The sequence below is a fragment of the Homo sapiens genome, chromosome 22, assembly GCF_000001405.40.
Source record: "Homo sapiens chromosome 22, GRCh38.p14 Primary Assembly".
Classification (NCBI taxonomy): domain Eukaryota; kingdom Metazoa; phylum Chordata; class Mammalia; order Primates; family Hominidae; genus Homo; species Homo sapiens.
Window position 1 is genome coordinate 24,455,838 of NC_000022.11, and position 25,082 is coordinate 24,480,919.

At 44.1% G+C, this 25,082-nt stretch overlaps 1 long non-coding RNA gene across 2 annotated transcripts in view, besides 3 other annotated features; it reads right to left on the reverse strand.

Moving 5' to 3' along the window:
• The window catches only part of ADORA2A-AS1 (ADORA2A antisense RNA 1), a 65,869-nt gene that overhangs the window by 26,632 nt on the left and 14,155 nt on the right, over positions 1 to 25,082 (reverse strand). Inside the window, exons 2-4 of one of the 2 annotated variants that reach the window (NR_028483.2) lie at positions 19,146 to 19,316; positions 15,931 to 16,058; positions 4,616 to 4,934 (exon numbers count right to left, since the gene is read on the reverse strand). This is a non-coding gene — a long non-coding RNA (ADORA2A antisense RNA 1). The remainder of the gene's footprint in view (positions 1 to 4,615; positions 4,935 to 15,930; positions 16,059 to 19,145; positions 19,317 to 25,082) is intronic. The other variant, NR_028484.3, reaches the window with a different exon arrangement.
• Positions 4,841 to 4,990: an enhancer, noted in NCBI's record as "active region_18772". NCBI's record gives its function as "activates an Ori minimal core promoter by ATAC-STARR-seq in GM12878 lymphoblastoid cells {active_cell/tissue: GM12878}" and the evidence as "EXISTENCE:reporter gene assay evidence [ECO:0000049][PMID:35858748]".
• Positions 5,271 to 5,340: an enhancer, noted in NCBI's record as "active region_18773". NCBI's record gives its function as "activates an Ori minimal core promoter by ATAC-STARR-seq in GM12878 lymphoblastoid cells {active_cell/tissue: GM12878}" and the evidence as "EXISTENCE:reporter gene assay evidence [ECO:0000049][PMID:35858748]".
• Positions 23,697 to 23,884: a silencer, noted in NCBI's record as "fragment chr22:24875502-24875689 (GRCh37/hg19 assembly coordinates)". NCBI's record gives its function as "represses an EF-1alpha promoter that drives an FKBP-Casp9 reporter gene in an ReSE screen in K562 erythroleukemia cells {active_cell/tissue: K562}" and the evidence as "EXISTENCE:reporter gene assay evidence [ECO:0000049][PMID:32094911]".

The window sequence follows — 25,082 nt, forward strand, 5'->3', positions numbered from 1 at the left end:
TTGGACCTCAGTCCAGCTTCCCAGGGCTCCCTCCGATGGTCCTCCTCTCACCCAGACCAAGGACACTAGGACTAAACATGGGAGGCCCCGCCCTCCTGAGTGACTCTTTATCTATACAGGATTGTATTCTCTGCCAAATAGACCAAAAGGAAGGAAGGCCGGCAAGACATTAGCTCTTTTCTTAGCTCTCAAATAGCTGACATTTCAGGAAACTGAAATTCTGAATGGGACCAGAGGTGATTTCAATTCATTGTGCCTGTCTGCAGAGTCAGTCTATATGAGGACTCCATTATATAGGACGTACTTCTAGAAGTTCAGCGAAACCCTTGTCAATAAATCTCTTTCAAACTTATCTACTCATGCTTGGAAATTCGTCATTAGAGCTTTACTTCTTTGGCACAAGCCAAATGTGGGTTTTTGTCTTTTATAAAAGACATATCAGTCATATCAGTCATCTCAGTGTGAATGGAGTATACTGGTCCTTTCCTGGGAGCAGGCTCATACGAAGAGAAGACTAGAACACTGAAGACTTGTAGCCTCTGAAACTAGAAGAGGGAAGATGGGCAGTGTGTGGAAGAGAAAGGATGTAGAGGGAGGTGGAGCTGGTGAAGGCTTTCCACCTGAACAGTCAGGTATGATCTCCAAAGTACCCAACAAAGCTACATGTAGGCCAGGTACAGTGGCTCATACCTATAATCCTAGCCCTTTAGGAGGCTGAGGCAGGAGGATCCTTTGAGACCAGGAGTTCAAGTCCAGCCTCAGCAACATAGCAAGACACGATCTCTACAAAGAATTTTTAAAAATTAGCCGGGCATGGTGGCCATGACTGTGGTCCTAGCTACTTGGGAGGCTGAGGCAGGAAGATTACTTGAGCCCAAGAGTTCAAGGTTACAGTAAGCCATAATCGTGCCACTGCACTCCAGCCTGGGTGCAGAGTGAGACCCTCTCTAAAAACAAACATAACAAAAAAACTACATGTAACAAAGCCAGACAGAAAGAGAGATTATTCTGCATGATTCCATTTATATCTAACAAATGAAAACTAATCTACAGTGACAGAAGGTAATCAGTGGTTGCCTGGGCCAGGTTGGGAGGAGGCAGGAGGGTGGAACTACAAAGGGGCATGAGGGAACTTTAGGGGCGATAGCTATCTTGATTATGATGATGGCTGCAGGACTGTATATATATGTCGAAACTTATCAAGTCATACACTGTAAATAAGTGCAGTTTATTGTATGTCAGTTATACCTCAATAACACTTTTTTTTTTTAAGACAGAGTCTCCTTCTGTTGCCCAGGCTGGAGTGCAATGACCAGATCTCAGCTCACTGCAACCTCTGCCTCCTGGGTTCAAGTGATTCTCCTTCCTCAGCCTCCCAAGCAGCTGGGACTACAGGTACATGCCACCATGCCTGGCTACTTTTTGTATCTTTAGTAGAGATGGGGTTTCACCATGTTGGCCAGATGGTCTCAAACTCCTGATCTCAAGTGATCCACCTGCCTCCACCTCCCGAAGTGTTATGGGAGCCACTATGCCTGGCCTATAACACTTTTTTTTTTTTTTAAGAGTCTCGCTTTGTCATCCAGGCTGGTGTGCAGTAGTGCAATCTCGGCTCACTGCAAGCTCTGCCTCCCAGGTTCACGCCATTCTCCTGCCTCAGCCTCCTGAGTAGCTGGGACTACAGGCGCCTGCCACCAGGCCCAGCTAATTTTGTTTGTTTGTTTTGAGACAGAGTCTTGCTCTATCACCCAGGCTGGAGTGCAGTGGTGCGATCTCCGCTCACTGCAAGCTCCACCTCCTGGGTTCACGCCATTCTCCTGCCTCAGCCTCCCGAGTAGCTGGGACTATAGGCACCTGCCACCACATCCGGCTAATTTTTTTTGTATTTTTTTTAGTAGAGACAGGGTTTCACCATGTTAGCCAGGATGGTCTCGATCTCCTGACCTCATGATACACCCGCCTCGGCCTCCCAAAGTGCTGGCATTACAGGCATTAGCCACTGTGCCCGGCCGCTAATTTTGTTTTTGTATTTTTAGTAGAGACGGGGTTTCACTGTGTCAGCCAGGATGGTCTCGATCTCCTGACCTTATGATCTGCCCACTTCAGCCTCCTAAAGTGCTAGGATTATAAGCATGAGCCACCACACCTGGCCAACACTTTTTTGTAAAAAAAAAAAAAAAAAAAAAAAAAAAAGGGTCTCGCTGTGTTGCCCAGGCTGAAGTACAGTGACCATTCACAGTGCACTACAGCCTTGAACTCCTAGGCTCCAGCAATCCTCCTGCCTCACTTTTCCAAGAAGCTGGGACTACAGGATCACGTAACCACATCTGGCAATAACAATTTTTTTAAAAGAGTGAAAACACAAACCTACAGTATTTTGTGCCTGCCAAATAATGTCTCACATGCCTCTGCTAAGTTCTGGCAGAAACAAGTGTTTTCCAGCATGATAATTCACCTTTCTGGGAATTGGATTTTCTCTCTGTGAGTTGATAGGGCTGAACTTGATGATCCCAAAGTCTGATCCATATATAATAGTCTAAGTAGTGAGGATCAAATATGTTAACTGATAGAAATCCACTATGAAAGCTTAAAGGGTTTAATACAAATATAAGATACGAATCATTAAATAACTAGTATATACAGAGATACTGAATAAAAATAGTGGATTAGGCCAGGCGCAGTGGCTCATGCCTGTAATCTCAGCATTTTGGGAGGCCAAGGTGGGCACATGACTTGAGGTCAGGAGTCTGAGACCAGCCTGACCAACATGGTGAAACCCCATCTCAACTACAAATACGAAAATTAGCCGGGCGTGGCAGTGGGCACCTGTAATTCCAGCTACTCCTGCTGAGGCAGGAGATTCGTTTGAACCTGGGAGGCGGAGGTTGCAGCAAGCCAAGATTCTGCCACTGCACTCCAGCCTGGGCGACAAGAGTGAGACTCTGTCTCAAAAAAAAAAAAAAAAACAGTGAATTAAACACATGCATCTAATTTTGCTATATCTAAAACTTCATCAAAAAAATGCTTTTTGGCCGGGTGCGGTGGCTCATGCCTGTAATCCCAGCACTTTGGGAGGCCGAGGCAAGTGGATCACTTGAGGTCAGGAGTTTGAGACCACCTGGCCAACATGGTGAAACCCCATCTCTACTAAAAATACAAAAAATAGCTGGACGTGGTGGTGCATGCCTGTAATCCCAGCCTCTTGGGAGGCTGAGGTAGGAGAATCGCTTGAATCCAGGAGGTAGGGATTGCAGTGAGCCAAGATTACGCCACTGCACTCCACCCTGGGCAATAGAGCAAGACTCCTCCGTCTCAAAAAAAAATTTTTTTTTTCAAGGGTAAAGCCTACAATAGGAGCTCTTGGAAAGAAAAAATACGACATCAGAAACAAAATGCTTAGTGGAAGGATTAGAAAACATTGAGGAAATTTTCCAGGAAGTAGAATAAAAAGACAAAATAGAAACTAGGAAGGAACAGATGAGAAATTCATCCCAATATGTGAATAATAAGTTTTAGAAATACAACAAAGGAAATGAAATAATTCAACAAAACACTCCAGAATCGAAAGGACATGACTTTTCAGATTGAAAGGGTCACGAATGGCCAGGACAATAGGTGTGTCATTGTAAAATTTCTTAATGCTAGGGACAAAGAAATCCCGCAAGGTCGCACACACAGAGTGAGGAATCAGAATGGCTTTGGCCTTCTCAACAGCAGCACTGGAAGCTAGAAGACGACAGGGCTGAGGAATCTAAGTTCTGAGGCAAAACGATTTCTTACCTAGAATTCCACACTCAATTAACCAAGTGTTAGACATTTTCAGACACACAAGATTTTGAAAAAAAATTATCTCTTGTGTACTCCCAGGAAACTCCTGGAGGACATATGTTATCAAAACGAGGGAAGAAAGCATAAAATGAGAAGACATGGGATCCAGAAAACAGGCAATCTAACACAAGAAAGAGGCAAGGGAATCCCCTGGACAGTGGTAAATAGAGGTTCCAGAATAGCAGTGTGTAGCAGGCCCCCAGTGCAGGAGAGAAGGCTCCAAGAGACTTTCCTGAGAAAAATGTATTGAGAGAAGATCTAGGTAATTGGCAGACTTTAAGTGGTAAGAGTGACTAGTGGTAAGGCCTTAGAAACCTAGGTGGATGAAAAAAGATAAGCAAAACAAAGTGATGTGTTAGGAAAAGCAATCATGGCTGACTACATGGCTTAGCTCCAAGTGGCATTTACACTGTCATAACAAACACTATTATCTACAAAACTTACACTATACTGGGAGCAAGGGGGCACAGAGAGGGATGCATATGTATAGAGGGGGCAAATGAAGAAGAAGGAGCTAAATCCTCGTCTTCCATAGTGGGAAGTCAACAGATAAGGCCTAAAGGAAAAAACAGGAAGTAGTATTATAAAACATGTTATTTGGAGATAAGTAAATTCCAAAAGAATTAAACAAGTTGAAATTGGTCCCTCTAAGGAAAAGGAAATGGGGTTGGGGTGGGTACAGGGAGGTTGAGGACTGCTCTTTGTCTTAACAAATCTTAAAGAACTAGTTCCCTTTTTAATCAATGTTCCTGTATAACTTTGATAAAATTTAAAATTAAAAAATTACCATGGTGAAGGGTGATGAAATGAACGCTTATTGAATGCAGTCAGTGCGGACAGGTGCTCCCCATATAGGTGCCACCCTGCTGGTGTCCAAGCTTTCTGAGCTGTTACAGATCACGCCCAAGGTATGCAGGAAGGTGCCTCCATTTGGGAAACAGCATGGGGGCTGGTCCCACACGGTGCTGACTGCTGCCTCAGTAAGTCACTTAGCCTAAGTCTCAGCTGTCCCACTTTGCAGAACCAGATTCAAGGAGTGGTGAAGGTTTCACGGGCAAGTGCCTGTAGAATACCTGGATGGGCAGCCACCTACTTCAGGTCCTGATCTGGAGAAAAGAAAGCAGTAGGAAAGCAGTGAGCAGAACAGAAAAATATGCAGTCTGATAGTGGAAATAGACTCCGGCCCCTGGTGGCATGAAAAAGAGGAGCCCCTGCAGAGCAGAGCTACTTGTGAGCTGGCTCACGCCCTGCATGTCAGACTCTGATCGTACTCCTGTGTGCTGGAGAGTTTCTGTTTCAGAATGTTGAAATGGTGGTTTCTGAGAGTGAGCTCTGTTGTCAGATACTCCAGCAGCAGCACAGTGTGAAGCATATCTCGGGATAAACACCTATCAGAGGCCACAGTCTAGTTAGCGAGCTGAGATAAACCATGTTCTAGGAGAACTCACAATACAAGGTATGGCGAGGAAGAAAAATGCCCCAAAGGAGGAATGAAAACATCCAGCTTCCTGGATGCCTTCTCTGACACTTCTTGCTTTGTGACTTTGAATAAGTCACTCGCCATCATCACTCACTTTTCTCTTCTGTAAAAGGACTGGACTAGATGCTTTCGAGGGTCCTTTCCTGGCATGTAAGAAAGTAAACTCACAGCTGGGCACGGCGGTTCACGCCTGTAATCCCAGCACTTTGGGAAGCCAAGGCAGGCGGATCACCTGAGGTCAGGAGTTTGAGACGAGTCTGGCCAACATGGTGAAACCCTGTTTCTACTAAAAAAATACAAAATTAGCTGGTTGTGGTGGTGCATGCCTGTAATCCCAGCTACTTGGGAGGCTGAGGCAGCAGAATGGCCTGAACCTGGGAGGCGGAGGTTGCAGTGAGCCGAGATTGTGCCACTGCACACCAGCCTGGGTGGCAAAGCAAGACTGTGTCTCAAAAAAAAAAGAAAAGTAAACTCCCTGAGGGCAGAGACCTTGTCTGACTTGTTCATTGCTCTGTCCTCAGTACCCAGCAGAGTGCTTGATACAACCAGGTGCTTGATGAATACTTGTTGAATGAATGAAATGGAAGATAAAAGCAATCAGTTTTTTAGAGTCTTAAAACTGAAAAATGACCCCAGTCAATGCTTTAATTTCACAGGTGAAAAAACAAAAGCCCAGTGAGGAGGGAAAAAATGTGCTTGTGATCACCACAGCTAAGCAGGAATGGAGCTGAGATTCAAGTCCCAGCACTGTGGGAACTCAATTGAGGGTAGGTTAGGGTAGACTAGACGGGCGAGGGAAGGCCACATCTTTAACTATTCAGAGGTGAACTTCAGGGTAACAGTCTTCTGAACTAACTAATAAAGTTTGGCTGTGGGGCAAGACGTAGTGAAAAGTATATGCAGTTATCTGGGTTCAAGTTCCACCTCTGCTACTTACCTGTGTGATCCTGGCCTAGCTACCTAATCTCTGAATCTGTTTTTTTGGAAAAAGAGATAATAATAATATCTACTTTACATAATTTCTGTCAGAATATAAGTAAGTTGGATATGGTATGTGAAAAAAATATTTTTCAAGATGTCAAATCTCATAGGTTGTTAATGTGTTTAGCCTAGCTCCCTTCTAGTAATATCTCATTCACTAACAAATCAACATAGTTTATTAATAATGGTTTATTCATCCAGTTAGTCATCACTTTGAAAATCAAATGGAAGAACTTTGAAAGGTAGGTAAGTTTTGATGGAGTAGAGCAGGAGGAAGAAAAACTGGGGAGTTAGAATCTAGGTGGGGAGGGCCAGGTTTGGTGGCTCATGCCTGTAATCCCAGTACTTTGGGAGGATCGCTCAAGCCCAGGAGTTTGAGCCAGCCTGGGCAACGTGGCAAGACCTCGTCGGTACTAAAAGTTAAAAAAAAAAAAAAATGTTAGCTAGGTGTGGTAGTGTGCACTACTTGGGATGCCAAGGTGGGAGAATTGCTTAAGCCCCGGAGGTCAAGGCTGCAGTGAACCAGGATTATGCCACTGCACTCCAGCCTGGGCAACAGAGTGAGATCCTACCTCAAAAACAGAAAAAAGAATCTGGGTGGGGGCATTGCAGGGGCCAGTCCTGAGGAGCCAAGGGCAAGCACAGAGAGGCCCAGGAGTCGGAAACCAGATTCCATACTCTGTGACTGGGAGAACCTGTTAACCCTCTTGGTCTGTTTCTTCATCTGAAGTGGAAGGATAATGACAGTACCTCTGCTAACTTGGAGGCTGCTGTAATATCACAAGACCATGGATGTGAAGAATTTTTAGGGATCATCAACTGCCATCTCCACAGATGGGAGATTATCATTCCTTTATAAGAGTATGGATGAGAGGGTAAGAGACATACTTGAAATAAACCTTGCCTATCAAATTGTCTCCCCTAAATTTATATTTTGAAGTCCTAATCCCCAGGGTGACTGTATTTGGAGATAAGGCCTTTAAAGAGGTAATTAAGGTTATATAAGGTCATAAGAGCAGGGCTCTAATCCAATAGGACTGGTGTCCTTCCAAGAAGAGGAAGAGACACCAGGGATGTATGTGCAGAGAGAAAAGGCCATGGGAGAACACAGCGTTAAGACAGCCATTGGCATGCCCAGGAGAGACACCTCACAAGAAACCAACCCTGCCAACATCTTGATCTTGGACTTCCAGCCTTCATAACTATGAAAAATAAATTTCCTGTTTAAGCCACCCAGTCTGTGGTATTTTGTTATGGCAGCCATAGCAGAACTAATACACCCACCTTACGGTTTTGCTTCCCTTACTCCTTCCCCCAGAACAAGTTCTCTCTTCATACGTAACGGCATTGCACAAAAATAGCTTCTGGTCAGCCAGTAAGGCAGGAGGCAGCGTGACTAATGGGCAGGACCAGGTGTTGGGACCTTGACCAGTCTACTGGCAGGTTGTACTCCTGAACTGCTAAGTGGGTGGAACCAGTTTTGTCTGTTCTTAGACACCAAGTTTGTCTTCCAAGATTCTGAGGCTCGACAGAATGATGAACTGTTTAAAGAGCTTTTAGTCACAGGGAAGGATTTAGGCCCATGATTAAAGCTCAACTTCCCCCTTTCTTATGTCCTGGGTAATTTGAATAATGTTGCCTTAAAAATAGGGGACAAGTAGGCCGGGTGCAGTGGCTCACACCTGTAATCCCAGCACTTTGGGAGGCCGAGGCAGGTGGATCACCTGAGGTCAGGAGTTCAAGACCAGCCTGGACAACATGGCAAAACCCCGCCTCTACTAAAAATACAAAAAAATAGCTGGGCGTGGTGGCACATGCCTGTAGTCCCAGCTACTGAGGGGGCTAAGGCAGGAGAATCGCTTGAACCTGGGAGGCAGAGGTTACAGTGAGCCGAGATCACGCCATTGCACTCCAGCCTGGGCAACAGGGCAAGACTCTGTCTCAAAAAAAAAAAGAAAAGAAAAGAAATAGGGGACAACATTTATATCCTGATTAGAAGCTCCTAAAGTAAATACATAAGCTTCCTTGGGATTAGATTGTCAGAAATTTCAAAAAACAAATCTGGTAACTGCATTATTCAGTCAACAAATTTTCATGGTCACCTACTATATGCCAACCTCTATTGTAAATTATACAGATACAATAGGAATAAAATAGACTTAGTTCCTTTTTTTTTTTTTTTGAGATGGAGTCTTGCTCCGTCACCCAGGCTGGAGTAGAGTGGCGCGATCTTGGCTGACTGCAACCTCCGCCTCTTGGGTTCAAGCGATTCTCCTGCCTCAGTCTCCTGAGTAGCTGGAACTATAGGTGCGTGCCACCATGCCCGGCTTATTTTTTATGTTTTTAGTAGAGACGGGGTTTCACCATGTTAGCCAGGATGGTCTCGATCTCCTGACCTCGTGATCCACCCGCCTTGGCCTCCCAAAGTGCGGGGATTACAGGCATGAGCCATCATGCCCGGCCAAAAATTTTTTAGACAGTACACCTGCAGAGGGCACATACCATGAATGGAACTTGCAGGACTGGAGGTTGCTCTGGGTGTGTCAGTGAGTGAGTGGTGAATGAATGTGAAGGCCCACGGCATTACTGTGCACTACTGTAGACTTTATAAACACTGTATACTTGGGCTACACTAAATGTATTTTTAAATTTTTCTTTCTTCAATAAATTAAGCTTAGCTTATAGTAACTTTTTGACATTATAAACCTTCTAATTTTTAACCTTTTGACTCTTTTGTAATAACCCTTAGCTTAAAATACCAAAACATTGTACAGCTGTACAAAAATAGCTTATTTATATCCTTATTCTATAAGTTTATTTCCATTTTTAAAATTTTATTTTTGTTTTACTTTTTAAACAGTTTTGTTTGAAACTAAGACAGACACATACACATTAACCTAGGTCAGGGCTATCCAGAGACCCTCCCTACCCAGGGTCAGGATCATCAATATCACTGTCTCCCATCTCCACATCCTGTCCCACTGGAAGCTCCATGCAATAATATGCATGGAGCTATCCTCTATGATAATACTACTTTCTTCTCAAATATTTCCTGAAGGATGTACCTGAGGCTGTTTTACAGTTAACTTTTTTTTCCTATAAGTAGAAAGAGTACACTCTAAAATAACGATTAATAGTATAGTAAATATATAAACTAGTAACATCATCATTTATTATGAAGTATTATGCACTGTATGTAATCGTATGTGCTATATTTTTATATGACTGGCAGTGCAATAGGTGTGTTTACACCAACATCATCAAAAGCACGTAAGTAATGCACTGCAATAGGATGGTATAATGGCCATGACATCACCAGGCAATGGGAATTTTTCAGCTCCATTATAATCTTACGGGCCCACCATTAGATGTGTTATGTGGCACATCACTGTAAAACTCTTTGGCCTGGCATTGAAAACCCAGTTCAATCTGGGCCTCCTACCCTCCTATTTAGATGTCTTTTTCCAACCAAGGGTCATCCCCAGTCAAACCTTTCAAAACTCCAATTCACTAACTAGAATGCTTACTATGCCTTACTTAAATCCTATCCATCTGGCAAGGTATGGCAGGCAGCCTCTAAGATGGCTCCCATGATCTCTGCCTCGTGGTATTCACATCCTTGTATGTGGGCTGAACTTGGTGACTCACTGCTGATAACAAGAATACAACAAAAGTGATGGGATATCGCTTCTGAGATTAGGTTGCAAAAGGAATGTGGCTTCCATCTTGGTCACGCTTCCTCTCTTAAACCTCTCACCCTGGTGAAGCCGGCACCAAGTCTTGAAGCAGCCCTATAGAGAGGCTTATGTCTGGAGGGACTGAGGCCTACCAACGACCACTTCAGTGAGCTTGAAACTGGATTCTTCTCTACCCTCTGATGAGCCTTTAGGCTGAGAGCTTAACTAAAACCTCATGAAAGACTGAGCCAGAGGCACCTGGCTGAGCTACACCTGGATTCTTGACCCATAGAAACTGTTGGATAATAAATGTTTATTGTTTTAGGCCACTAAGTTTTAAGGTAATTTGTCATGGAAGAATAGACACTAGGCTACGCGTGGCAGCTCACACCTGTAATCCTACCACTTTGGGAGGCTGACGCAGGAGGATCCTTTGAGCCCAGGAATTCAAGACCAGCCTGGGCAACACAGTAAGACCCTGTCTCTATAAAAAAAAAAAAAAAATAGACAACTAAAACACAAAGTGGAGCAATATGTTACACAGCAATAGATAACTGATAGACAAGACCAGTTCAAGTTGCTCCCCTGAATTTTCCTTGACCTAGCTTAGCCCAGAGCAACCTCTGCCTAATGTGAACTTGATGTAGAGCTGTTCTTCTCATTGGTCATTTTGCACAAGGGCAACATTAGTTATCTTCTATCCTCTGTGTCTCTTGTCTTTTCCAAGTAACCTGAGGTCAGTAGCTGCTTAAATTTCTTGTATGTCTCTGGAGAAAGTGTTTGTGCAAGTAGAGAAAGCGGTAGGCTTTGAGAGGCTAGAACTGCGTCTGAAGGGTCTTTTCATTCATGTTTGGTGACTGACTGAAAAATGACTTGTTGGTGGGAAATTGAAGTGTATGTTAGAAGAGGGACCACAGCTTAGGAAGAGCTGATTTTTGATCTTCATCAAAATGAGGCTTCAGTGGCAAATACTAACAGCCAATCCTCCTTGTAAATTCTGTTGATTTCCTTCTTATTGTGTAAGGAGTTTAGCCTTCTGTTGGCAGTTGTGTTGTGACAAGCAGCAGAGAGGGGGTGGCTCTGGGACACTGGGGTCACTTCAGAGGAAGGGAAGTTGATTGTCTTCTCAGGGCCCCTTCTCTCACATTTATTCTTTCCAGGGCCTCTGCAGCAGGACTGTGCTGAAGCCCATTTCCTACACGTAGCACCATTTATTTAAAACACACACTACATATACACAACAGACCAAATGCAAAGGAAAAAAGGGGAAAAAGGCTGCTGAAGACCAGAGTCACTAAAAGTTCAGGCTAAGAATAGACAAGGAACTCTGAGAGCTGCTCAGCTATGTGACCTCCTGCAGGGGCTTGGCAAGAAGCCCAATTCAGCTTTGTTTTTTCTGTGCTTTTACAAAGAAAGAGCACTAGCTTGGGAGTCAGGAGACCTAGGTACCAGACTTTGCTTTGCCAGTGCCTCTTTCTGTGGCCTTGGGTAAGTTTTTCCCCTCTCTGGGCCTCAGTTTCCCATTTGCAAAATAAAAGTGTTTAAGACTAGGTTCCAAGATTTTCCAATTCTAATGCTGAGAGGATACAGAGGAAAACAGAAAGAATGCTGGCTGAGGAACCAGGAGACTTGCCTTCTTGTCCCAGCTCTGCCACTGACCTGACCTCTTTGGGCCTCTGCTTCCTCATCTATAAAATAAGGTACTATATTCATTCATCCAGTCCTTCAACGAATATTTCTTGAGCACCTACTATGTGCCAGGCTTGGTGCTGGAGATACGATGATGAGTCAAGCCAGACAGTCTATGTTCTCATGGAATTTCTAGTCTATTGGGGGTGGAAGGGAGGAGGAGAAGATGAACTGTAATCAAACAATCACATAAATGAAGGTGTAATTAATGCCAGGGTAAGAAAAACAGGGAAGGGTCACACTTGGTTCTCAGCAACTGAGGGATAGCCACAATGTCCACCAATTCCAATGTTCTGTGACCTAGTATGTAGCTCTGCGGGGAGGTGCAGAGAAGCCTTTGGAATAACTCATATCTAAAATCATAGGGTTTTTTTGTTTGTTTGTTCGTTTGTTTTCAGAACGGCACAGCTCAATTAATCCAAGCAACCAACAACCATCTATTGGGGACCTTCTAGCAGGAATCAGTCACCTACCTCTGGCCTCTCTGGTGCTTTACACTAGTGGGCAGAATGGACTCATAAATGGACACAGCTATAAAATGCCTCACATCATTCTCTGATGGCTAATTATATGTTTCAAATACTAATGTGTCTAAGAATTAGGTGAGAATTGGATGTGGTAGGACAATCAGAGAAATTTTCTCACAAGTAGAAATTGAGATAGGCTCTGAAGGCTTGCTGCATAGTTTCAGATAAACAGAAACAATAATATCAGGGCACAGTGGGCCCATTCCCTCCTACTAGACAGTACAGGTGCATGGGACATACGAGAGATATCTGGCCGGGTGTGGTGGCTCACACCTGTAATCCCAGCACTTTGGGAGGCCGAGGCAGGTGGATCATGAGGTCAGGAGATCAAGACCATCCTGGCTAACACGGTGAAACCCTGTCTCTACTAAAAATACAAAAAATTAGCCAGGCGTGGTGGCAGGCACCTATAGTCCCAGCTACTTGGGAGGCTGAGGCAGGAGAATGGTGTGAACCCAGGAGGCAGAGCTTGCAGTGAGCCGAGATAGCGCCACTGCACTCCAGCCTGGGCTACAGAGCGAGACTCCGTCTCAAAAAAAAAAAAGAGATGTCTCAAGTAAGAGACTCCTAAATTTCATTTTGGGGCAGGAGAGATTCAAACCCTACTTGTTTTGTCAAAGAGCAAAAGACCTCTTCTGTGACCTACTCTAAATCCCGTCCCTTGGATTAGGAGGCCTGCTACTGATGGGATTCCTAACTTGGGGTAGCCATCTCACCTCAATGAATCTGTTATCCTGTAAAATGAAGGGGTTAGATGATACCCAAAATCCCTTATAACACCCAGAAAGATGGCTAAAACTTCATTCTTTGTAAGAATTTTTATTACTTTATAATAAAACTGATGGTTGCTACTATGGAGTATGAGCTGTGCGATCTTAGGCAAATTACTAAGTTTTCAAAACCTGTTATACTTTCTTTTTAAAATTTATTTTAATTTTTAAATATTTTATTTTCTTTTATATTTTTGAAACAGGGTCTTGCTCTATTGCCCAGGCTGGAGTGCAATGGCACAATCACAGCTCACTGCAGCCTTAAACTCCTGGGCTCAAGCAATCCCCTCACCTCGGCCTCCCGAGTAGCTGGGACTACAGGCATGTGCCACCAAGCCTGGATAATATAAAAATTTTTTTTTGCAGCAATGAGGTCTTGTTATGTTGCCTAGGCTTGCTATGTTGCTAGGGTTAAAATGGCCAATTTTACGTTATATATATATTTAAACCATAATCTTTAAAAGTAATATACCAAAAGTAATTCACTCATATAAAGTGAATTATACACTTTAAATGAGTGAATTATATGGTTTGTGAATTACACCTCAGTAAGAGGATATTCTCCATCCCAACCTAAACTTCTGTCCCCTCCTCAGAGGCAACTATTTGTTTCTTAGCTTTCTTTCTAGAAAGATTCTAGGCATAAACAAGTACATCTTAAAATCTATCATACTTTTTCTTTTCATACAAATGAAAGGAAGTGATATACCATTTTATACTCTGCTTTTTTTTTACTTAATATCTCTTAGGTTGTTGTGTATCAGCACATGCAGATTTACTGCATTCTCTTTTTTTTTTTTTTTTTTTGAGAAGGAGTTTCGCTCTGTCACCCAGGCTGGAGTGCAGTGGCACGATATTGACTCACTGCAAGCTCCGCCTCCCAGGTTCATGCCATTCTCCTGCCTCAGCCTCCCGAGTAGCTGGGACTACAGGCACCCACCACCACGCTCGGCTAATTTTTTTGTATTTTTAGTAGAGACCAGGCTTCACCATGTTGGCCAGGCTGGTCTCAATCTCCTGACCTCGTGATCCGCCCGCCTCAGCCTCCCAAAGTGCTGGGATTACAGGCATGAGCCACCGCGCCCAGCCTCGATTTACTGCATTCTTTTCCACTTCTACATAGAAGCCCACTGGAGGGACCTATCACACTTTATTTAATGAGTTATCTTATTGATGAATATCTTGTTTCTAGTCTTTTTTTTTTTTTTGAGAAAGGGTCTCGCTGTATCACCCAGGCTGGACTGCAGTGGCATGATAATGGTTCACTGCAGCCTCCAACTCCCGGGGCTCAAGCAATCCTTTTGCCTCAGCCCCTAAAGTAGCTTGAACCACAGACAGGTGCCACTATGTCTGGTTATTTATATATTTGGTAGAGATGGACTCTCACTATGTTGCCCAGGCTGGTCTTGAGCTCCTGAGCTCAAGTGATCCTCCTGCCTTGGCGTCCCAAAGTGCTGGGATTATAGGCACGAGCCACCATGCCTGGTACCCATGGTTTTAGGCAGACACATGAATACATCATCTATAGGATAAATTCCTAGTTCTGGTGTTGCAGGGTCCAAAGGTTAGCACATGTTAAGTATTACTATTGCCAAAATGACTTCCTTAGAATCTATACCAATTTACACTCCTAACAAGAATTCATTCACTCACTTTTTTCATTCAACCAATATTGAGTACCTATCATGAACCATGCACAATTCTAGGTCCTGGGGACACAGCAAATGAACAATAACAACAGGAATAAAAAGATAAAAATCCATTCCCTAATGGAGCTTACACTCTCACAGAAGGAGAGGGCAACCCAAAAAGTAAAATATGTAACATCTTAGATGGTAATAAACGCTATGGTTGGCCGGGCGCAGTGGCTCACGCCTGTAATCCCAGCACTTTGGGAGGCTGAAACGGGCGGATCACGAGGTCAGGAGATCGAGACCATCCTGGCTAACACGGTGAAGCCCCATCTCTACTAAAAATACAAAAAAATTAGCCAGCTGTGGTGGTGGGTGCCTGTAGTCCCAGCTACTCAGGAGGCTGAGGCAGGAGAATGGCATGAACCCAGGAGGCAGAGCTTGCAGTGAGCTTGCGCTGGGCGACAGAGCGAGACTCCATCTCAAAAAAAAAAAACTGCTATGGCTAAAATAAGGCAGAGAAAGGAGTGCTGGCCATGGGTAAGGGCTAGTAATTTAAACGGGATGGTTAGGGTATAAAAATTCTAAGCCTCAGCTTCCTTATCTGTGAAGCAGGACAACAATAGTACCTATGCTGGCCAGGGGCTGTGGCTCATGCCTGTAATCACCGCACTTTGGGAGGCTGAGGCAAGCGGATCGTTCGAGGCCAGGAGTTCAAGACCAGCCTGGCCAACATGGTGAAACCCCATCTCTACTAAAAATACAAAAATTAGCCGGGCATGGTGGTGCATGCTTGTAATCCCAGCTACTTGGGAGGCTGAGGCAGGGAAATTGCTTGAACCCAGAGGCAGAGGATGCAGTGAGCCAAGACAGCACTACTGCACTCCAGCCTGGGTGACAGAGCAAGATTCCATATAAAAAAAAGTACCCATGCCATAGGATTGTTGAAGGAATTCAATGATACTATATCTGGTATACAGTAAAAATTTCCTAAATGAAAGCTATTCTTATTATAAACAACTTTACAGCTAAGGAAAGTGTGGCCCAGGGATGAACAATTTGCCTATGGTCTCAGGGAAAATTAGTGGTTGGGTAAGAGCTAAAACCAGGCCTCCTGACCCTCCATGCAGTACACTTCCAAATATATCAAGGGACCAAAAGCATTAAGATGCCATCCTACTGGGGCTGCTAACGGGCAACGTGGTTTTAGCTTCAAGAGTGCTCTGAGAATGTGATTTTCAACATGCAAAAGAGGGGAAGGGAGATGAGAGAGTACACAAGGTTCATTAAGGAGAAGCAGGCCAACTTCACTCAGGCCTAAGGCTGAGCCTGCTGGGGTTTGCTCACAAGACATTCAGATCCAGGATAGTGTTCTCAGCCAAAGGCAACAAGCGTTCTGGCTGCTGCTCGCCCATCTGCTCTGATGAGACTCTCCCAAACCCTGGACTCCCATTGGTTTCATTCCAAGGAATCTCCTGGAGGAAAGATAAGCAGCAGTTAAGTCACAGCTGTAGAAATAATAAGATCTGGAGGGGCACTTATATCTGTTTGGCCGAGTTAGATTTTCAAGCAGGCCAAGTATGTGGTGATGGTGGTCTCTCAACTCTCTCTGTGCCTTTTCCTCACCCCATGGCACCTCCTCTCCCTGTCCACAGCCAGATACTATTTCCCTAGGCCTTCTGCCTACCCAGAGCCCTTTCCTTGTGTGGGTTCTATCCTTCCTTTAGCCCTATCCTTTCTTCAGTGAGCGTTTCATTCCCTCCATTCCTCCTAACCCCTACTTCGGAAATACATATTTTTAAAAAGGTGACACTTACTGGCTTAACAGTGTCACTATGGAACAGGATTCAGGGAAGTCAGTGTTCTGGGCTTGACCTCTGTTAATGTGTAGGTCCCTATATGACCTTGGGAAAACCAATTACCTTTTCTGGGCTTCAATTTCTTCATCTAAAAAATGTATTTCGGCTGGGCGCAGTGGCTCATGCCTGTAATCCCAGCACTTTGGGAGGCCAAGGTGGGTGGATCACCAGAGGTCAGGAGTTCAAGACCAGCCTGGCCAACATGGTGAAACCCCATCTCTACTAAAAATACAAAAACTAGCCAGGCGTGGTGGCTCACATCTGTAGTCCCAGCTACTCGGGAGGCTGAGGCAAGAGAATCGCTTGAACTTGGGAGGCGGAGGTTGCAGTGAGCCAAGATCACGCCATTGTACTCAAGCCTGGGCAACACAATGAGACTCGGTCTCAAAAAAAAAAAAAAAAAAAAAAAAAAAAAGTATATCATGGCTGGGCATGGTGGCTCACGGCTGTAATCCCAGCTGTTTCGGAAGCCAAGGTGGAAGGATCCCTTGAGGCCAAGAGTTCAAGACCACCCTGGTCAACATAGCAAGACCCTGTCTCTACAAAAAAGAAAAAAAATTAGGCATGGTGGTTGTGCGTTTGTAGTCCCACCTACTCAAGAGGCTGAGGTGAGAAACTTGCTTGAGCCTAGGAGTTTAAGGTTTCAATGAGCTATGATTGTGCCCACTGCACTCTAACCTGGGCAACAGAGGGAGGAGACCCTGTCCCAAAAAAAAATTTGTTTTAAGATGTATATCATGGCATTTCAAGTACCACAGTGTAGATTTTTCTGCCAAGGGCAGATCCCAATGATCCACCTGAAGACAAAAAGGTATACAGAGAAGTAGGAGGGCCAAAGGGAGAAACATTCAGAGTTGAGGTGCCAAGGCCACTAAAATGCTATTAAAAGGGGTGTAATAAAAACCAATATTTGTTGAATGGCATCCAGTATCCAGTCCTGGGGCAGCCATAAGGAAATTCATACCTGGGCGAGAGATTTAGGTTTAAAATCGATTCTTGTATTGGGTAGACCTCAATGCAGGGGAAATTCCAGACCAGCTTTGGACCATGGCAACTCTACTCTTAAGAAGGGGAACATAAGAAAGAAAAGGTACTTTGTCCCAGATCACTAGCCCCTCAGTTACTTGAACATCATGGTGTAGATCTGGCTGTGAGATTTCTCTGCAAGGCTAGAAAGAGGAAGATTGAGAAACATTCAAACAGATTGATAAAAAGGGTTCTTGAACTCAAATTTGAGGAAGTGACCTAAGATTTCAAAAGATGTTAGAATTATAAGCAAATTATGTGGATGTTTCCACTTCTGTTTAATCTGTGGACAATTACATTAACAGATGGAGCTTCTGCTGGGGCAATCTGAGAAAACTTAAAAAAAAAATCTCAGTGACTATCACTAATGTTATCTTTCAAGCTGACATCCATGATCTTATTTTTTATTTTATTTTTTGAGATGGAATTTCACTCTTGTTGCCCAGGCTGGAGTGCAATGGCGCAATCTCGGCTCACTGTAACATCCGCCTCCCAGGTTCAGTGATTCTCCTGCCTCAGCCTCCTGAGTAGCTGGGATTACAGGCATGCGCCACCATGCCCGGCTAATTTTGTATTCTTAATAGAGATGGGGTTTCTGCCATGTTGGCCAGGCTGGTCTTGAACTCCCAACCACAGGTGATCCACCCATCTCGGCCTCCCAAACTGCTGGGATTACAGGCATGAGCCAGCACGCCCGGCCATCATCCATAATCTTAATTTCATCCACAGAGAAAGGTAGAGAGCAGCAAGGGGAATTGAGACATGAGATTCTGAACTCTGAAATAATCTATGATAGTCACTACATCATTGTTCCTGCCTGGAAAAACAATCCAGACCCCAAACTTTTCTTCTTTGATGCCCTGCAGTGGGGTTGACAATAAACTCTCACAGGCTTGAGCCTTGTGGCATCATCAGTACAGCAGAAACAGTTGCAGACATTTTGGGTGAAAAATCAACCAAGCCTGCTTAAATCCCTCTGCCTGCTGGGACAAAAATATGGTCAGACTTCCAGAGTCAGCAGTGCATCCTAGCAGAGAAACACTGAAGGAGAGATGGCACTGTTTTCACGGAGTCTTCAGTGACTTTCCACTGAGCTGTGGGAAAATCTGACAGTTGACTGTAGCTGAGTCATAACCCAGAGGTCCTGACCACTCAGATATTTGAAGATTCCTTTCATTCCTTTCCCAAACGGGGAACCTGGCAAACTCCAATTGGTTAATTCCATTTACCTCCTGTTCCTTGCAACTATATGTAGGTATAGAGTAGTGTGCTCTCAGCGGTAGCAAAAGGGTATCAGAATAACAGCATATACACTTTGTAATTATAATAGCTTATATTTATCTTCTACTTACTGTGTGTCGGGCACTTTCTATAGATTTTTTTTTCATTGAATCTTTAAAACTGTTCAGCAGTATATTTACTATTATTATCCCCAGTCTACAGATGAAGAAACTGAGGCTCAGAGAGGCTAATAACTTGCCCACAGTCACATACCTTTGGTGTGAGTTGCTGAGGTTTAACCTAAACATTCTAACTCCAGAGTTTGTGCTCTAGCCACTATGCTATACTGTAGCCAAACACCAGCATGGATATCCCAAGCTCAAAGGCACTTCAAATACCACAAATCAATCAATTTTCCAGCTGAGAAAACAGGCCTAGGGAGATTATAGGAATTACCTAGTGATAGAGTCAGGGTTCCAGGCAGATCTCTTCACTCCAGAGTTCTACACTCTCTCCACTGCATCAGAATACTTCAGGTTCGTAGACAAGCATGTGGTGCACACTTGTAGTCCCCGCTATGATCGCACCACTGCACTCCCGCCTGGGTGACAGAGTGAAATCCTACCTCTAAAAAAAATAATAAAATAGAAAAAGAATGCTTTGGGTGCTCTCCATCATCTTGAGAATCTAGAGCTTTTCTATATCTTATCCCTTATTCTTTAGGGAATGGAACTTAATTTTATGTAAACATAAAATATTTTCACATAGTTTTTCTACAATATACTGATTTCCCAATCCTTCCCCCCTCAACTTTTTTACATAGACTTTTTTTGAAATGGCATCTTACTCTGTCATCCAGGCTGAAGTGCATGGCTCAATTTCAGCTCACTGCAACCTCCACCTCCAGGGCTCAGGTGATCCTCCACTACAGCCTTCTGAGTAGCTGGGGCTATAGGCACACACCACCATGCCCAGCTAATTTTGTGTTTTTCTGTAGGATGGAGTTTCACCATGTGGTCCAGGGTGGTCTCAAACTCCTAGGCTCAAGCATTCCACCTGCCTCGGCCTCCCAAAGTGCTGGAATTACAAGCATGAGCCACTGTGTCCGGCCTATGTAGACTTTTAAAGGGCATTTTAAGTTCACAGCAAAAGTGAGTGGAACACATAGAGCTATCCCACAGACCCCCTGCCTCCACACACAGCCTCCCCTGCTACCAACATCCAGCACCAGAGTGGTGCATTTGTTACAACCAGTGAACCAACACTGACACGTCATTATCACCCGAAGTCCATATGTTTGGATTAGGGTTCACTCTTGGTGTTGTATATTCTATGGATTTTAGCAAATGTATAATGACATGTATCTATCATTATGGTATCATATAGTATAGTTTCGCTGCCCTAAAAATCCCATCTGGTCTATTTATTCATCTCTTCCTCCTAAAGCCCCTGACACCCAGTGATCATTTTACTATCTCCATAGTTTTGTCTTTTCCAGAATTACATATAGTTGGGATCATATAATATACAGCCTTTCAAATTATTTCATTTAATAATAAGCATTTAAGGTTCTTCCATGTCTTTTCATGGATTGATAGCTTGTTTCTTTTTAGCACTGAATAATATTGCATTATATGGATGTACCATACAGTTTATTTACTCATTTATCTACAGAAGGACATATTGGTTGCTTCCAAGTTTTAGCAACTGTGAATAATGCTGCCATAAACACTCATGTGCAGGTTTCTGTGTAGACATAAGTTTTCAACTCCTCTGACTAAATACAAAAGGACAATTGCTAGACCATATGGCAAGAGTAGGTTTAATTTTATACAAAACTGTCAAACTCTCCCAAAGTAGCTGTACTGTTTTGACTCCCACCAGCAATGAATGGGAGTTCCTGTTGCTCCACATCCTCATCACCATTTGGTGTTGTCAATGTTTTAGATTCTAATAGGTGTACGGTAGGATCTCGTTGTTTTAATTTGCAATTCCCTAATGATGCATGATTTTAAGCATTTTTTCCTATGCTTATTTGCCATCTTCTTTGGTGGGTGTCCATTCAAATTTTTTGCCCATTTTTTTTTAAGAGATGGGGTCTCACTATGCTGCCCAGGCTAGTCTCAAACTCCCAGCCTCAAGTGATCCTCCCACCTCAGCTCCCCCAAGTGCTGGAATTACAGGTGTGAGCACAAGCCTGGTCACCCTTTTTTTTTTTTTTTTTTTTTTGAGACAGAGTCTTGCTCTGTCGCCCAGGCTGGAGTGCAGTGGCGTATCTCAGCTCACTGCAACCTCCACCTCTAGGGTTCAAGTGATTCTCCTGCCTCAGCCTCCCATGTAGCTGGGATTACAGGTGTGTGCCACCACACCCAGCTAATATTTTTGCATTTTTAGTATAGATGGGGTTTCACTATGTTGGCCAGCTGGTCTCAAACTCCTGGACTCAAGCAATCCACCTGCCTCAGCCTCCCAAAGTGCTGGGATTACAGGCGTGAGACACCATACCCAGCCTTCAGCTATGATTTCTTTTTCTTTCTTTTTTTTTTTTTTTTTTTTGAGACAGAGGCTCACTCTGTCGCCCAGGCTAGAGTGCAGTGGTGCGATCTCAGCTCACTGCAACCTCCGCCTCCCAGGTTCAAGCGATTCTTCTGCCCCAGCCTCCTGAGTAGCTGGGATTACAGACAAGTGCCACCATGCCCAGCTAATTTTTTGTATCTTTAGTAGAGACGGGGTTTCACCATGTTGGCCAGGCTGGTCTCGAACTCCTGACCTCGTGATCCACTTGCCTTGGCCTCGCAAAGTGCTGGGATTACAGGTGTGAGCCACTGTGCCTGTCCCCAGCTATGATTTCTAGTAGTCAATTATTGAGTGTTTCCTGATCTCTGCATAATGCCCTCCTCTACCCCTCCCTCTTAGGAAATGACCAGCTAAGGCTCCAGTATGCTCCCTCAGTTCTCACTTCTAGGGAGGCTTTCCATCTCTAGGTCTTACCTGTGTAGTTTATTCTTTATATCCTGCCTCCTGTCATGGGGACAGTGTCCCTATTCCTCTCATGCAGTTTGTCCACAGTGACCTTGGCCCCACTAACCTTTCCAGCCTCTTCTGTATCCAGACCAACTTCACTTTCTTTAGTGAAGGATTAGAGATGGATAACAGCCTGGAAATGGCCACGTGTAGTGGAAAGGGTTTAGTCTTAGTCAAACAATTCTTGACTCCTCTGGGCAAGTTAGTTAACCATGCTGAGTCTCATGCCCAGTGGATAGGACACCCCTGCTTATAAGGTGATAATGAAGATTAAACACAAAATCATGTAAAGGGGTTAGCCCATATCCTAGAACACTACAGATACTGATTTCTCTCTCTCTTCTGGCCTTTTTCCCACTTCTCACAAGAAATGTTCAAGAAAGCTTCATTTTTAAAAAGCCCAGGCCAGGCGCAGTGGCTCACACCTGTAATCCCAGCACTTTGCGAGGCCAAGGCAAGTGGATCACGAGGTCAGGAGTTCGAGACCAGCCTGGCCAACATGGTGAAACCCCGTCTCTACTAAAGATACAAAAAATTAGCTGGGCATGGTGGCACTTGTCTGTAATCCCAGCTACTCAGGAGGCTGGGGCAGAAGAATCGCTTGAACCTGGGAGGCGGAGGTTGCAGTGAGCTGAGATCGCACCACTGCACTCTAGCCTGTGTGACAGAGTGAGCCTCTGTCTCAAAAAAAAAAAAAAAAAGAAAGAAAGAAAAAGAAATCATAGCTGAAGGCTGGGTATGGTGTCTCACGCCTGTAATCCCAGCACTTTGGGAGGCTGAGGCAGGTGGATTGCTTGAGTCCAGGAGTTTGAGACCAGCTGGCCAACATAGTGAAACCCCATCTATACTAAAAATGCAAAAATATTAGCTGGGTGTGGTGGCACACACCTGTAATCCCAGCTACTTGGGAGGCTGAGGCAGGAGAATCACTTGAACCCTAGAGGTGGAGGTTGCAGTGAGCTGAGATGCGCCACTGCACTCCAGCCTGGGCGACAGAGCAAGACACTGTCTCAAAAAAAAAAAAAAAAAAAGGCCCTATTTCATCTTCAAAGACCCTTTCTTGCCCTCTATTCAATTCATTCTGATCGCTATTTATTGAGCCAGGGACCACCTTTTCAATACTCTCTCAAACGCTGAATTCAACACATAATGGCAAATTGGTCTCACTGCAGCATTAATATTGCTGGACACTGACACTGGGGGCCTGCTGATTCCTGCATCTCCTCTAACTTCTCTGAACATTTCTGTCTCAGGTACTTTATACTTCTCATCTTTCCACATCCTGATCTCTTCTATTCCCATGGCTTCAACAACCACTATTTGCTAAAATTTCCAGTTTTTTCTCTCTCTAGTCCAAATTCCAATCCTTAGGCCCCAGACCTGAATTTCCAGCCATTCACAGGGATCTCCTTCTGGAGGTCCCAGGGGCATCTTAATCTCCAAACTGGCTTTTTCTCCTCATGGCTCTTATTTCCTAAATGGCTTATATTATTAAACCAATACTCAGACAAGAGGCCAGAATCATCCTGAACATCCTTGTCTTCTACACCTCATATTCTATGTTGGAGCCATCACAATCCCTTTGATTTTCATTTCCACAGTGCTTCTTGAATCCATCCCCACTCTATTTCTAGGGCTTTAGTTCAGTCCTTTATCATGTCTCACCTCAGATATTGCTGCAGACTGGGAGCCCTTATTGCCAGGCACTCACCCTGCTCATACTCTGCTTAGAGCCCAGATTTATGTAATTAATAGATCTGAGAATATTAATCATCTGCTACAAAGTCTTCCATAGCACTAAGTGAAATACTAAATACTAGTATCTTTAGCTCGCATTAGGATGGAGGTGCCTCAACACTATTAAAGACCTTGTCTTATTAATTATTATATCCCATGACATAATATTGTACATTAAATATTCATTAAGAAATGCTTATTAAATTAATGAATAAAAGCCCAGAACTATGCCATGTATAGTAGGGCATATGAAAGAAATATAGGATGGTCCCTGTCCTCTAGGAGCTTACACTCTTACTGGAGAGACAAGATAAAAACAAGAAACTGGGCCAGGCACAGTGGCTCATGCCTGTAATCCCAGCACTTTGGGAGGCTGAGGCGGGCAGATCACTTGAGTCCAGGAGCTCGAGACTAGCCTGGGCAACATAGCGAAACCTGTCTCTACTAGAAATACAAAAATTAGCCAGGCGTGGTGGCACACGCCTGTAGTCCCAGCTACTTGGGAGGTTGAGGAGGAAAAATGGCTTGAGCCCAGGAGACAGAGGTTGCAGGGAGCCGAGACAGCATCACTGCACTCCAGCTTAGACGACAGAATGAGACCCTATCTCCAAAAAAAAAAATAAGGAAAAAAGGAGTTTGCCTAAAATAAGAAAGCAGTAATTTTTTTTTTTTTTTTTTTGAGACAGAGTCTAGCTCTGTCACCCAGGCTGGAGTGCAGTGGCATGATCTTGGCTCACTGCAAGCTCCGCCTCCCGGGTTCACGCTATTCTCCTGCCTCAGCCTCCTGAGTAGCTGGGACTACAGGCACCTGCCACCATGCCCTGCTAATTTTTTGTATTTTTAGTAGAGATGGGGTTTCACCATGTTAGCCAGGATGGTCTCGATCCATGATCCACCCACCTCGGCCTCCCAAAGTGCTGGGATTTCAGGCATGAGCCACTGCGCCCAGCCAGAAAGCAGTAACTTTTTTTGAGTGCTATAATAACACCAAAGTGGCCAGGTGTGGTGGCTCATGCTTGTAATCCCAGCATTTTGGGAGGCCTAGGCAGGCGATCACTTGAGGTCAGGAATTCAAGACCAGCCTGGCCAACATGGTGAAACACCATCTCTACTAAAAATACAAAAAATTAGCTGGGCCTGGTGGCACACGCCTGTAATCCCAGCTACTCAGGAGGCTGAGGTAGGAGAATTGCTTGAACCTGGGGGGCAGAGGTTGCAGTGAGCTGAGATGATGCCATTGCACTCCAGCCTGGGCAACAGAGCAAGACTTTGTCTCAAAAAAAAAAAAAAAGTGAACATATACAAAAGCTATAATAGAAAAACTACCTTTTGATACACATATATACATACTCTTTTAATGAAGCAATCCTTTGAGAAAGATATTATTATCCCCACTTCACAGACAAAGAAACTTTGGCACAGAGCCATTAAAGAACTTGTTTGAAGTGACACAGCTACATGCAAGACCCTGTACTAAGCACTACTGACACAGATTAATAAAATAGTTCATGCTTTCAAATATCTCAAAATCGAATCAAAAATTCTGAAACTAAATGATTCTCTCATAAACAATTACCTATACATCAATGTCGGGTATTGTAATAAATATACACATAAGATGGGAGTGTTATT